The 15,282-nt window shown below is 36.1% G+C and overlaps 1 protein-coding gene across 29 annotated transcripts in view; it reads right to left on the bottom strand.

Annotated features, from left to right (window-relative positions):
- Window positions 1–15,282, bottom strand: part of GREB1L (GREB1 like retinoic acid receptor coactivator) — a 283,881-nt gene that overhangs the window by 154,190 nt on the left and 114,409 nt on the right. For 21 of the 29 annotated variants that reach the window (XM_006722547.4, XM_011526179.4, NM_001410867.1 and 18 more), the window contains exon 2: window positions 5,787–5,896. The exons of 3 other annotated variants lie outside the window; for them this stretch is intronic. The gene's annotated coding sequence lies outside the window, so the exon portion shown is untranslated. Of the gene's footprint in view, window positions 1–5,786; window positions 5,897–8,062; window positions 8,303–15,282 lie in introns of those variants that run through there. 5 more of the 29 variants (XM_047437821.1, XM_047437810.1, XM_047437820.1 and 2 more) reach the window with 1 other exon arrangement.

Raw genomic sequence — 15,282 nt, 5'->3', positions numbered from 1 at the left:
GTACTTTCAATTTCATAGATTTTTGTGAAAACACATGAGATTTTACATACAGTAATAAGTTTTTAGAATAGTGCCTGGCACAGAAAAAAAGTGCAGAAAATGTTGGTAGTCATAGTAGCACCTTTTTTTTTTTTTTTTTGAGATGAAGTCTCAAACTGTCTCCTAGGCTGGAGTGCAGTGCTGTGATCTCGGCTCACTGCAAGCTCCGCCTCCCAGGTTCATGCCATTCTCCTGCCTCAGCCTCCCGAGTAGCTGCGACTACAGGCGCCCGCCACGCCCGGCTAATTTGTTGTATTTTTGGTAGAGACAGGGTTTCACCATGTAAGCCAGGATGGTCTCGATCTCCTGATCTCATGATCCGCCCACCTCAGCCTCCCAAAGTGCTGGGATTACAGGCATGAGCCACCGCACCTGGCCAGTAGCAACCATTTTTACTTTAAAAAAAAAAAAAAAAAATTGTATCATTGTGCCACGTTGAGGATATGAAGAAAAGTAAGATGCATTCTTTCCTTTATAAAAGTTGGGCACTACAGTAGATTCTGGAGCCTTGTTTCTAGGAAAAATAATGTAAAAGTTCCAAAGGCTGCTATTTGGCACTATATACAATTTATTTATTAAGAAATTGTACAATCATATATACAAATCATGAGATGACCTTTGACACCAAGAACAGCACTGCCCAAAAGAATTTTCTAAGATAATGAAAACGTTCATATTCTGGACTGTCCAATATGGTAGCCACTAGCCACATGTGGCAGCTGAACACTTAAAACGTGGCCAGTGTGACTGGGGAACTAAAATTTCAATTTTATTTAATTGTAATTAATTTTTTTTTTTGACACAGAGTCTTACTCTGTTGACCAGATTGGAGTGCAGTGGTGTGATCTCAGCTCACTGCAACCTCCACCTCGTGGGCTCAAGCAATTCTCCTGCATCATGCCTCAGCCTCCCAAGTACCTGAGACTAGAGGCATGTGCCACCTGCCCGTCTATTTTCTGTATTTTTTTTGTAGAGACGGGATTTTACCATGCAGGCAAGGCTGGTCTCGAACCCCTGGCCTCAAGCAATCCACCTGCCTCAGGCTCTCAAAGTGTGGAATTATAGGCGTGAGCCACTGCGCCCAGCAGTAATTAATTTAAATAGCTACATGTGACTAGTAGCTGTCATACTGAACAGTACAACTCTAGAGTATGTACAATGATTGAGAGATAAAAGATTTCTTAAGTTCTAAGAGGCTTGGCTGTGTCCCTACTAATGTGATCTTGAACAAGTCCCCTAACCTATCTCAAGCTCAGTTTCTTCATCTGTAGAATAATTCTATAGGATAGATTATGACTGTCCCTTACAGTGATAAAACTCTTTGTATAACAAAATTATTTGTTACTGTATTTCTGCTTATATGCTCTTTCTCTATTAAAAACATTCCCTGATGAGAGTGAATAATGTATGACTCTCAGACAAATAAACCAAACACACTTCCTGTAAGTTTTCAGTCTCAAATCCAAAATATTAAACTATTACATATTTTTGTTCTTTCTCTTTTGTGCTCTCTGAGCATTTCATTTATTCTTTTAAATTGATATTTGTCATTCTCAATTATAGTTAGTTGGGTCTAGTATCTGTCTAACTTCCCCCAATAGATTGTGAGTTTTGGGGGACATATAATTTGTTTAAAGCTGGAACTGAGTAAAAAAAAATGAATAAATTGAGCTTTTGTGTCTTATCCAATTATATATTAAACAGGTCTGAAGAGATATCTCTTCCCAAGCACATTCCATAAAAGCACAAAGCTAACCATGCATTCAAAACAGAAGTGCTTTATTTCATTTTTATTCATCCTTTTGCTGAGAATGTTTAGAAAGTGCAAACAGATTAAAAGACAAAAATTTTAAACTCCTTTAATAGTTTTGTACATTTAAATTTGGAAATTTGGATGAATTTCTTTTTTCTTTTCTTTTCTTTTTTTTTTTTTTTGAGATGGAGTCTCGCTCTGCTGCCCAGACTGGAGTGTGGTGGTGCGATTGTGGCTCACTGTAACCTCCGCCTCCTGGGTTCAAGCGATTCTCCTGCCTCAGCCTCCTGAGTAGCTGAGATTACAGGCGCGTGCCACCACGCTTGGCTAATTTTTGTATTTATTTAGTAGAGACAGGGTTTCACCATGTTGGCCAGGCTGGACAAATTTATTTTTATAGTTTGTAAAGCCAAAAGTATTTTAGGTATTCAAATAAAAACCCAACCCTATTAACTTAATCCTAAAATTTACCCTTCTTAGCAATATACTTACAGATATGCAATATATATTAAATTTTTTTAGAAATAATTATTGTACTATGCTAACTAATTTCATAATAATGACTAAAAACTATCATGACTACAATGCTGTTTTTCCTTTGTAACAAAGAAGTACACGTTACCACTGGAAATCTTTACTTTTCCTTGAAATGCCAGAAATTCTTCTGTAAAATAAACACCTCTTGTCAAGACTCTCTGGAACTAGTATAATTACCAGAGGCAATCCTTGTGTAAGATCAAAGAAGCAAAACAATAATAGGCAACGTGTGACCTCTACCATGTCACCAGAGACCAATTTTTCAACAGGGAGAACAGTCAATAATCCAGAACAGAAAACATTAAATAACCAGAAATGCTTCCAAAGTGTGGCTCACCACATCTTTCAACGCTGTCACATTCAGAGTTCAGAGTCTCTATGGTTTCCGAAAACAAACTTCTGGGGATTTATCACAACAATCATTAAAATCTGCATAAAACACCAGAGGCAAAAAACAATTCGCCAATTTCCCAAATGCAGAGTAGAATTTCAAAAGATACTATAATAATTTTCCAAATTTCATCTGATGCTTTAAAAAGTATAGTGAGAAAGGCATAGATAACTAAATATTTTCCACCTAACACTCAACTGATTTCTCTTATTTACCTAGCCCCATTTAATTTTCCCAAAAAAGTTGTTTGCAAAGTTGGCTATGAACATTAACCAGATAATTAGTAATAATAACACATTAAATACTTCTACAGGTTTTTTTTGGCTTTGTTTTGTTTTTGATAATGGTGGGTCACTAAACCCAGAAACAAGGTCTCCTGTGTAATATATTTGAGTGACTAAGCATTACAAGGGCACAAAGAGGGGTAAATAAATTCCCAAAGTAATTACAGTAAAACAGAAGTACATTTAAAACTGACTTCTAAAAAGTACCGCAAATCAAATTGTGCCTTAGAATCAGCAAAACTTGATTGTTTTTCTTAAATACTATTGCCAAATAGCTGTCTTCTTTCAAAATCAGATGTGAATTAGGGGCTGAACAAATATATTTGAATTATTTAACCTGCAAAGCACACATTCCACTGGTAATTCAGAGAGTAAGTAATAAAAGAAGGAGACTTTGCTTGAAAGAAAAAGCACTATAAATTCAAAGCAACCGTGAACACTGTTTTTTTTCTTAAACATTCTATTCTTTTATGATTTCTTGCTACCTCCATCTTTCCACTCTGTCATCTGCTCCTGTCTTTCCATCTTCTTAGCTTATTAACATTGCTAATCGTATTTGTCAGTTTTGCCACAATTTTAAGGCCTCTTAAACAGCTGTGGGTTTGCTCTAGGCAATTATCAGTCACTATACTTAGGTTTCTAAATTAGTTGTTGAAAGGTGCTTTAACCTTGAGAAAATAGAAAATGAGCAGACTACATGCTAAGCCTTACATTTATGTGTATGTTCCTTTAACACGAGTGATTATCAAAAATTCAAAACAAATCACACACAAGTAGTAGATATTGTAAATTTATAAATTAACAAGGCCTATTATAGGCCTTATCATTTTATCTTTCTTCCCTTACTATATACATTGTAATATATGCTTTCTCTCTATATATGTGTATAGATTGAAATATAAATGATAGTATATAAACTGGAATATCAAAATACTGCCAAATTCCTCTAACAGTCTCCTTTCATAACCTGTCAGGTGGCTAATACCTTTCAAAGGTATCCACAATCATATAAGCGGTCTCTTGAGGTCATGGGTTGTGGTAAAGAGAGCTTTTACAATATGCAGATTTTTCCCTTCTCCATTTCCCTTCAAAGAGAAAACTCCTTACTGTATTGCTTTTCTTATTCTCTATTCTTGACTCTGACACTGATTTTCTTCTTGACCACATTCAGGAAGAAACACAAGATTTAAGGTTGTTTGTCAACTGACAGCCCTTTCTATCAACAACTAAATAAAAAAATCTGTATTCCAGAAACATGACACTTCATGTACCACCCATTTTCCTCGTAAGTTAAAATAAATTCAAATATTACTTTTTAGAGTTAACAAGTTTTGGTGTTTTTAAAGGTTTAATAATAATACCTTGTTTGCAGATTAGGCCAAAAGCTTGTAGAATGATTTTTAAATTAATGTAAGTTCCCGGCTTACCTCTCCCCGTCCACCCTCCCTCACTCCCCACCCGCTACCGCTTTCTGCTCCAAGGAAAGAAAAAGGTGATATTTCAACAGTGCAAAATTCTTCCTGAGAGAGAAACACTAAAATGATAAACATTTTGAAAAGCAAAGTACACTTCAAACTCCAACTGTTCTTTCAGACCTATATTGACTCTTATAGACGTTGCCAACATTTGGTAAGGATTATCCTTCCATTAGACAAAAGCGAGCATTCCTTAGATAAATCAGGAGTTTTTGCCATAAGACTCATAAAACCTTTTCACAACACAGATTTTCAAGAGAATCCTTTAAGGTTTAGGAGGCTGCTCCTTTTACTAAGTAACAAAATACACCCCATGGTGTCTCACTGACCCCACTCAGCTGTCCTTTGACCTCCTCAATTGTTGCAGCCTAACTCCAGGGTCCACAGAATGTGCCTCCCATATCAAAAAGGCTAATGTTGCTTCCTCCTAGCACCTGGTGAAACAAAATGCAACAGTTCTCTTTCTTCTGCCTCCTCCGCTCCCTCTCTGACCATTTTCCAGATGTTCCAGGCCCAAATGTTAAGCCCATCCTGGGTTTCAGTATCTGCGTGGTCACCATGAAGGAACAAACAGGGACCAGGCTGAAGTGGCAATGACCCTCTTGTTCTTTTTGGCCTCAAAAGGATACAACGTGTTATAAAAGAGGAAAAGATCTTTGGCCTCTCTTGGAAATGCCAGGCTATTTAAGCACATTGTAACTTCCAAAAGGAGAGAAACAGTCTTGGGATATGCCCCTTCTGACAGACAGGAGTTACCTAAACAGTAGCCTTAAATTCTCAATTCTAAGCAAGCATCTGATTTTCTTTGATGGGGGTGGGGGGTGGGGAGCATCACCTTTTTCCTTTTCTAAATTAAAAGCCTCCTAAAATAGAAAAAAAAACTTTTATAAAATCTTTAGAACATATATCTCAGGATAGTGTTATATGAGACAAATATATGCAGTCAATAGGGATAATCTGGGTATTTATGCAGAAGCCTATAATCTAGAAGTCTCATTTATTAGACAATTTGAAGCATAAAATCATAATCAACAAAAGGGAATAAAGAACTGAATTCTTATTTTCTTAATTTAGGTATATAGGAAATACAGGGGTTGTTGTAGAGAAAGAACTCTGCAGAAGCTTTCTGGTATGGGGTAAGGGGATGGGGGAGGGGAGAGGAAAGCAGGGAAGGAGAGGAGCTCATGGAAGTATCTTATTCACTTTAAGAAGCAAACATAGTAGTTTTATTTGAATTCTAAATACAACTTCCTAAAACAAATTTGATCTTGAAAAATTGGGGAGGGTCATATATAATTGTACAATACCTTGGTTTATTTATTAACATTTTTGAATCACAGTCATGATTAAGTTGGGCAGTCAACACTTCAGGGAGTCTGTTGCCTAGATTTTAACTTGTTTAAAGCTTTTTGTGCACCTGCAAAAACATAAAAAATAAAAATATATACATAAAGACATGAGTTAATTTCCAAATACATATTCTATAATATAATAATCTAAATATTTATAATTCCATGAAAATCACAGTTAGAAATTATCAAAGTCTCACACTTTCCAACTCCATATACATTATAATGAGCAAATATACAGATACTCCACTTTTCTCAATAGTCTCAAAATAATTACTCCTAATTATATATACTCAAAGATAATTTCTGTTGTTCTTATGATTTCCCCCACTAAAAGTAAGTTGAATAAGTCTGTCAAGTCTGCATTTATGGCAGATGTTACCATAATATCAAAAGCCAACAGACTACTTTTAGGAATGAAATTAGTGGAAGGTAATTTTCTTATCTAAGGAATTTAGGAGTAATAATCCCTGATACCCGGCCCAAATTTATCTACTCAAAGAACTATCAAAAACGTAAAACATAATTACTATTGATTGAAAATTTTCCAGTAAGAAAGCCTGCAAAAAGAACAAGAGCTATTGTTTCTTACCCTTCTGAGTAATGTATTCCTAGAAGATATTAAACTAAATAATTATAATTGCATATAATTGGTTGAAAAGTATAGTATGCATGTTCATCTCTCCTCTAAATAGATTATGGTCAATATAAACTACTGCATGGGAAAATAGGAAATATAGTTGTAAAACATAAAGTGAAATGAAAACTACTTGTCATTGATTTTTATAGATAACATAGAAGCATTTCTAGTCCTTTGTTACTTTGTTTAAAAAGAAAACAAAAGAGGATTTTCCTAAGAAACTAACTTCAATATAAATATCTATATAACTAAAATATTTGAAGTAAAATTAATTTATGTTGTCTAAAAATGGTTTTTTTCATTTTACTTTTCTCTTATGCCGACTTGAAAGAAAAAAAATTTTAGATTTTTCGAATAAAAATATTTATCTTACCTCTTACTGTCAGAAGAATGTCTTCAGGCAAAATAATAATTAAAAATGGAAGGTCTAGGTTTTCAAACTCACATATATCCCACCCGCCCACACATAAATAGACATCTTTTCCTAAGTCAGCAGGAGCCTTGCTACCTACATCCAAACCCAAGATTACCCCATATGGTCAACAAGGTCAAACTGCATTACTGCCAATGAAACTATATTACTCCACAAGGACCCTAATGATTAAAAAAAAAAAAAAAGTCAGTAATCTAATTCCAATAGCTTCAGAGTCTAAAATTGCTAATTTTTGGCCACGTGCTGCACACTTCACCTGTTAGTAATGACATTTTTGTATTTTCTTCTAATTACACTCAAAGCTAAGACCTTTGGCCCTGGGCCACAGACCCCTATTCAGGCTGCACACATTCTCTTAAACGACCTGATCCTTTGTTGTCACTCTTACTCTTTCATCTATTATTTACATCCATAGAGAAGGAAGATACTCAACCATTTGTATAGCTTAAAGCTTCTAATCATCTTAATTTCTTTGCCTTTCAACCTATGGTCTTTTTAATAGACAAATGCCAAGAAGTTTGACAAAATCATTTTTTTTTTTTGCAATCATATTGCCCCCTCTTCTCCTTTCTTACTCCCTGGCCAACCTCCTTCCTGTTCCTTGTCTTTCACAGGAGGGACTTTGTATTAGCCAGGATTTATAAATTTTGACCTTCACCAACAAAATAAATTTCTAAATACAATACAAATCTCCAACTTGTTCTGACAGATCAATAACAATTATATTTCTTTTTTTGACCAAAGAGCCCCTTAAGTTGAAGGTTACTGAAAATAACTTAAAATCTGTCCCCAGCCTCCCAAAAGCCTGAGCACTGAATTTTCAGAATTCCTCTACAAAAGTGCCAAAAAGCATTTAGTAAACAATAAGAATATTAGTTATGTGGCCAAAACTTTTCATTTTAATGTCTATGCTTGCTCACTTGTTTACAAAAAGAAAATTTAGAAAAAAAGAGGAAGGAAAGAAAAAAAGAAAAAACAAAAATTTTAAGGTTAGATTTCTAATTTAATCTTTAAAACATTTAAAAGACTACTAATTCTCCAAACAGCAAAATCCTCACATAATATATTCTGTATCATTATGATTATTTCCCAATACTTTATCAAGATTAAAAAATATATATTCAAACACATTTTGCAAATCCAAAGCATGGAATTGTTTACCATGATGCAGATGTCTCCCTCAGATCACGAAAGCCACCAAAAGATTCTGATTTCCAAGATGTTTATAAAATGACATCTGATCCATCTTTGCTCTCTTCCTCTATTGCTCAGCTTACTCTTGATTTCTAACAGTGTTTCCTTGTTGTCTGTCCCCTCTGCAGACCCTGAAACCCCTTGATTTTCTTATTTTCACCATTTGCTTCAACCAGCAGTTCACTGGAGACCCATCCATCTTGTAATGCCTAAAGTGACAGATGCTCTCAGAAACGACCACACTGCTGAGTGAACAAAAGATAACATCACCTCCAGGAACTCCAGAGAGAAATACAACTGCAAGCTTAAGACAGGGGCTGACTTGACAGACATTGGACCATAAACCTCTTCTAAGCAAAAAAGAAAACAATTGCCACACACACAAAAAAAATCTGACACAATCAAAGGCAGAAAAGAGTGATTATTTGTGGATTGCCTTTTCACTCTGTAACTCACTTTTCCCCACCCAATGCTTTTATATCGGGGCAATTCACTCACCAATAGGCAGGAGGAGTTCTTGTGTGTGTGGGGGGGGGGGGGCGGGGGGGAGGCGGAGTGGGGGCAGGGGGAGCCTTTCTCAAGTATCTTCTTTTATTCATCAATATTCAAAGTGAAATTCATTCACAAGTGTTTCAGGAAATCTAAGTCTACCATACAGCATTCTTAAGCCTGACTCTTAATATCTGGACTCAGAAATGCTGACTCAATTCTACTGCGGTGAAAGGCACATGCATGCTTTGCAAATTAAAAACACATTAGAAATTAAAAAGCAACCTGTGACAATGTCAACAATATGTGCAGCACATTTGAAAAAGCCAACCATTCATCAGACAACCTCCAACTTGGGTTAAAAAGACATTTTACAAGAGGATTCTGGGAAGGGCTGCACAGCTCTTTTCTAACAAAGGAAAGGTCATATTAACATCTCCCAGCAACAAACTAATGACAGGGAAGCTGTAGATGCAGGAGACTCTGCTTGATGCCATCTAGGTTCTAGGACTTTCGTTGTGACTGTTGTTTAAAACATCTTATTTAAAACTATCAGACAGAATAGGAAGTAAATATAACTCTAACATTCAGACAAATACAGTGAAGGGGAAATTTCGAAGAACATAAAAACAAAAACTAACCTGGAGGTCAATTAAGAACATCATGTGGTCAATGCCAATTATGGAGATTAACAACCCGTTTTTAGAATAGATATCGAGCAACACAGGAAAACCTCTGTTGGAGCTAAATACATTATTCTTCTCAAAAAGGGCAAATGATACAAATATTTATGTTACATCTAAAGAAAAGAGCCAAAATGCTTAAGAAAATTTCCATTGACAATATTTCTAAGAAGAAATCTAAATACTTATAATGGCATTTCTTTAATAAAAATATTTTTTTCTCTAAAATGTTTGCACACAAAGTCTTTAAGTTATGCTACAATCATTTTTCTTTGGGGTTACTAATGACTCCTCTCCTCCCCACTTTCCAAAAAAAACACAAATTTTAAAATATATTTTGTCTCCTGTGATTGAATTACTTGTGGGGAGGAGGTTAAAAAAATTTCAACTTATATAAATCAACATATCAGTTACTTAAACATTTTTATGTCTCTCTTATTTCCTCAAACACTTCAATGTATCTTTCATAAATAACAGTATAATATTTCATAATCTCAGAATTTTCTGGGTTTTTTTTAAGGCTGGCAAAGTAGAATACATACAAAATAATAAAATGAGTATGTAAAATCATATCACAATAGAAAAAAGATTAAATAATTATAGAACACTTATATAAAATACTTGTTCTAATATGGACTGGATCTTTAACTAGGAGACTTTATAAACAAAGCCTTATACACACTGGCCCTAAGTAATCTCCCACAATCTATTAATCCAAAACTACCACATCATTCAACACTTTCAAACTCTGGCATTAATAACAAGAAAGAGAAGTGACCTTGAAATGACAGCTCCACTGCAGAAGGCTCAAAAAAAGATCCAATTAAATGATCTACTTTAAAACACAATAGAATCAATATGCATGCTAGAAAAGTACATCCCTGTGGAAAGTTCTTATTGTCTGACTGATCAAAAACAAAACTTTTTTTTTTTTAAGGGCCCCTTCCAGATCACAGTCTGTACCAGAAATCCACACAGGAAAAAAAAATCCATCAAAATGAAACCCTAAAAGGGTTTACTCTTCACCATTCTATTTGCACTTCAAAACCCTGTCAGTCCTTCAGTTAAACCCCAGGGCTGTACCATTTCAATAATAAGAGAGGTGGCCAGTGGTGATTTATCTCCCATTTGGCCTCTGGACAGAGCTGTAATGTCTAGGAAGCTTCCCTTCCCTGACTGGATCCCTCCCCCAAGTCTCCACCTTAATTTGTGCAGCCTTGGGTCTGCAATACCTTAGAAACAATTCATGTGCCCCTTCCAATCAGATGCAGGAACACTCTGTACTCAAGATTTGGGTACATTTTCTCAGCAATAATTTCACAAAATGGCATGCTGCTGAGTACTCAGAGCATGGCAAATACCAGCTTAAATTTCAGATTCTCTTTGTTATAAGTTAGAGCAGAAAAGAAACTTCCTTAACTGTAGCCTCTCTCTTCTCACATACGTTATCGGAACTTCACAAGCTTTTCCCAGTGTATACTTTGATATCCTTTATGTTTTGGACCACATTAGCCAGTATCCTTCAGTGTGGTACTCATCTAAATTTAAATCTTTGCATTGTAAAATACCTTAACAAATCCAAAAAAGTGGAGATTTCATAGGTCACAGACTCCTGGGTCAAAAAGACCTAAAAATAGATAACAGACCACCACGACTTAACTGATTTATTCTACCCTTGTTATCCAATATGTACTGTAACTGTCATCACATACACTCACCAATTTTCCAACAATGTCAACAGTTATTTAAATGGAAATATAGATCCCAGAAGTCACCAAATGTGAAACACAGTGAAATTATTCCTTAAAAATGGAGGATATTTTATCATTAGGCATGACTTACCTATTTCATAATTATGTTCATTTGCTTTCTAAAATGGAAAGAGAATAAAAAGCATGTATAACCTTTTCTCTACGTATTCAATTTTTTGTTTTATTTAAATGAGAGGAGTTTTTCTAATTGAGTCTGATAAATTCTATCTCAATGTCACATTAACACTTTGCACCAAATGATTCAACTATAGTGATCTAATTTTACCAGTTGAAAATGTTCAAGCTATTTCACTAAATTCATAAGTTTAGAGACTCCATAGGCAAAGATATATGTATTTCATTTAATCCTAATATCAGTCACCGGGTGCAGTGGCTCGTGCCTGTAATCCCAGCACTTTGGGAGGCCGAGGCGAGTGGATCACCTAAGGTGAGGAGTTTGAGACCAGGCTGGCCAACATGGCGAAACGCCATCTCTACTAAAAATACAAAAAAAAAAAATTAGCTAGGTGTGGTGGCAAGCACCTGTACTCCCAGCTACTTAGGAGGCTGAGGCAGGAGAATTGCTTGAACCCGGGAGGCGGAGGTTGCAGGGAGCCGAGATCGTGTCACTGCACTCCAGCCTGGATGACAGAGCGAGACTTCGTCTCAAAGAAATAATAATAATAAAACAAAAACAAAAACCCTTTGTTTTAAGTTAAGAAAGCTTAAAAATAAGAAAAATAAATATATGACTGATAGTTTAAAATACAAGAAATATAACTGTCAACTGAAAGAATTATTCACAATTTTGGAAGTATTTATCAATAAAAGTTATATTTCTTCCATTAAAAAATACACCACAAACATCCTTATACCACATTAGCAAATGTTTTTCATTTTCAGAGCCCTAAATACCACAAATTCCAGAAAAAACAACCCTCCTACCAAATTACTTTATTGCATGCAACCAGATCAGTGACTCTCAGATGACACATTTGAGATGATATATTTGAGATGACACAAATATCTAAACTGGCATTAGTAACAATATTCAAGAAAACAAATTTCTTAACCTACTTCATGAAAACAACCATAACAAAAAGAAGCTTTCCTCAACAGTCAACAAGAGTAATTGATGTACCACAGAGGAAATATCCAATCTTCATTAAGTATTTATTCAGTGCAATAGACTGTTAAGTGCTATTTAGACCTCAAAGAAGAAGCAGTTCCTGTCTGGTAGGAATCAAGTCTTAGGAGAACTGAATGGAGATGAGACGCAGTTCCTCAAGTCGTGACACTATACTTCAAAATGACAATGCTAAAAACTGGAAATGTGCTATAAAATGTATATTATCACTTTGAAGTCTAATACCAAAGAAAGTGATACCTAAGGGAATACTAACTTGAATAAGACTTGACTGAGTAGTTCTTGATTTTATTTATTTATTTTTTTTTGAGATGGAGTCTCATCCTGTCACCCAGCCTGGAGTGCAATGGCACAATCTCGGCTCACTGCAACCTCCACCTCCTGGGTTCAAATGATTCTCCTGCCTCAGCCTCCCAAGTAGCTGGGATTACAGGCGCCTGCCACCACGCCCAGCTAATTTTTGTATTTTTAGTAGAAACGGGATTTCACCATGTTGGCCAGGCTGGTCTCGAACTCCTGACCTCATAATCCGCCTTGGCCTCCCAAAGTGCTGGGATTACAGGCGTGAGCCATTGTGCCCAGCCCCTGATTTCTTATTAATGTAGCATGAAAATATTTGGATACTCAAGTTGTGCAGTTCCCAAATCTGCCCGAGTAACCATGGCCAAGACACCTATCTTCCCTGGGCCGCCATTTCCTTATCCATAAAATGAAGATAAAAGTAATACACTTCTAGATTGAAAACATTTATGGTGGTCTCTGCAGATGACATGATCTTGTACATAGAAAACCTTAAGATTCCACCAAACAATTGTTAGAACTAATAAACGAATTCAGTAAAGTTGATACAAAATCAACATACAAAATCAGCATTTCTTCTTTTTCTTTTATTCTGTGAAGTTATTATCTTTTCATTTTATTTCAACAGTTTTTAGTGAGCAGGTAGTTTCTGGTTACATAAATAAGTTCTTTAGTGGTGATTTCTGCGATTTCGGTGCACCCGTCACCTGAGCAGTGTACACGCTACCCAATGTGTAGTCTTTTATCTTTCACCCCCACTCCCAACCTTTCCCCCAAAGTCCATTATATTATTCTTACACCTTTGTGTCCTCACAGCTTAGCTGACACTTATAAGTGAGAACAGGCTGGGCGCGGTGGCTCATGCCTGTAATCCCAGCACTTTGGGAGGCCGAGGTGGGCGGATCACGAGGTCAGGAGATCAAGACCATACTGGCTAACACAGTGAAACCCCATCTCCACTAAAAATACAAAAAATTAGCCGGGTGTGGTGGCAGGCGCCTGTAGTCCCAGCTACTCAGGAGGCTGAGGCAGGAGAATCGCTTGAACCCAGGAGGCGGAGCTTGCAGCGAGCTGAGATCTCACGACTGCACTCCACTCCACTCTAGCCTGGGTGATAGAGCAAGACTCCGTCTCTACATAAATAAATAAAGAGAACATACAATAACTGTTTTTCCTCAAAAATCAGCATTTCTATATGCTAACCACAAATTATCCAAAAAAGAAATGGAAAAAAATCTTATTTATAATAGCTACAAAATAAAAAAAAAATTTAGGAATACATTTAACCAAGGAGGTGAAAGGTCTGTACACTGAAAACTATAAAACATTAATTGAAGACACAAATAAATGGAAAGATATCTTGTGTTTATGGATTTAAAAAATGAATATTGTTTAAATGCCCATATTACCCAAAGCAGTCTTCAGATTCAATGCAATTCCTATCAAAATTCCAACACATTTTTCTCAGAAATAGAAAAAATAATCGTAAAATTTATATGGAACAACAAAAGACCCCAAATAGCCAAAGCAATCTTGAGCAAAAAGAACAAAGCTGGAGGCATCATACTACCTGATTTCAATTATTTACTACAAAGCTATAATAATCAAAAAAGCATGGTACTGGCATAAAAATAGACCAATGGAACAGAACAGAAAGCCCCCAAAATTAATCCACGCATTTATGGTCAACTGATTGTCAAGAAAGAGGCCAAGAACACACAATGGGGAAGAACAGTCTCTTCAATAACTGATGCTTGGAAAACTGAATATTCAGGTGCAAAACAATGAAATTAGATCCTTACATCATATAGAAAAATCAACTCAAAATAGACTTAAATATAAGACCTGAAGCTATAAAACTACTAGACGAAAACATGGGAAAAGCTCATGACATTGGTCTGGACAATGATTTTTTTGACTATGACTCCAAAAGCACAGGCAGTAAAAGCAAAAACAGACAAATGAGATTGCATCAAATTAAACAGCTTCTGCACAGCCAAGGAAACAATCAACAGGGCGAAGAGCCAACATACAGGATAGGAGAAAATGCTTGCAAACCATACATCTAATTAGGGGTTAAAATCCAAACTATAAATAACTCAAGTAGGCTGGGCGCAGAGGCTCACGCCTGTAATCCCAACACTTTGGGAGGCTGAGGCGGGCGGATCACGAGGTCAGGAGATAGAGACCATCCTGGCTAACATGGTGAAACCCTGTCTCTACTAAAAATACAAAAATAACCAGACGTCGTGGTATGCACCTGTAGTCCCAGCTACTCAGGAGGCGGAGGCAGAAGAATTGCTTGAACCCAGGAGGCAGACGTTGCAGTGAGCCGAGATTGTGCCACTGCACTCCAGCCTGGGCAACAGAGTGAGACTCCATCTCAAATAAATAAATAAATAAATAACTCAAGTGATTTAACAGTAGGAGAACAAATAACCCTAATTTTAAAATGGGCAAAGGACTTGAATAGACATTTCTCAAAAAAAGACATACAAATCGCCAACAGTATATGAAAAAATGCTCAACTTCACTGATCATCAGGGAAACATAAATTAAAATCACAATGAGGTATCACCTCATATCTGTTAGAATGGCTATTATAAAAAAGATGAAAGATAACAGGTGTTGGAGAGGATGTAGAAAAAAGGAAACTCTTGCACCATGTTGGTGAGAATGTAAATTGGTACAGCCATTACAGAAAACAGTATGGAGGTTTCTCAAAAAATTAAAACCAGAACTACCATATGGTCCAGCAATTCCACTACTGGGTATGTATCCAAAAGAAATGATACTGGGATCCTGAATAAATATGTG

This window comes from Homo sapiens, chromosome 18, assembly GCF_000001405.40.
Source record: "Homo sapiens chromosome 18, GRCh38.p14 Primary Assembly".
NCBI classification, from domain to species: domain Eukaryota; kingdom Metazoa; phylum Chordata; class Mammalia; order Primates; family Hominidae; genus Homo; species Homo sapiens.
Note: the sequence above shows the minus strand (reverse complement) of the source record. Positions and strands in the feature narration are given on the sequence as shown.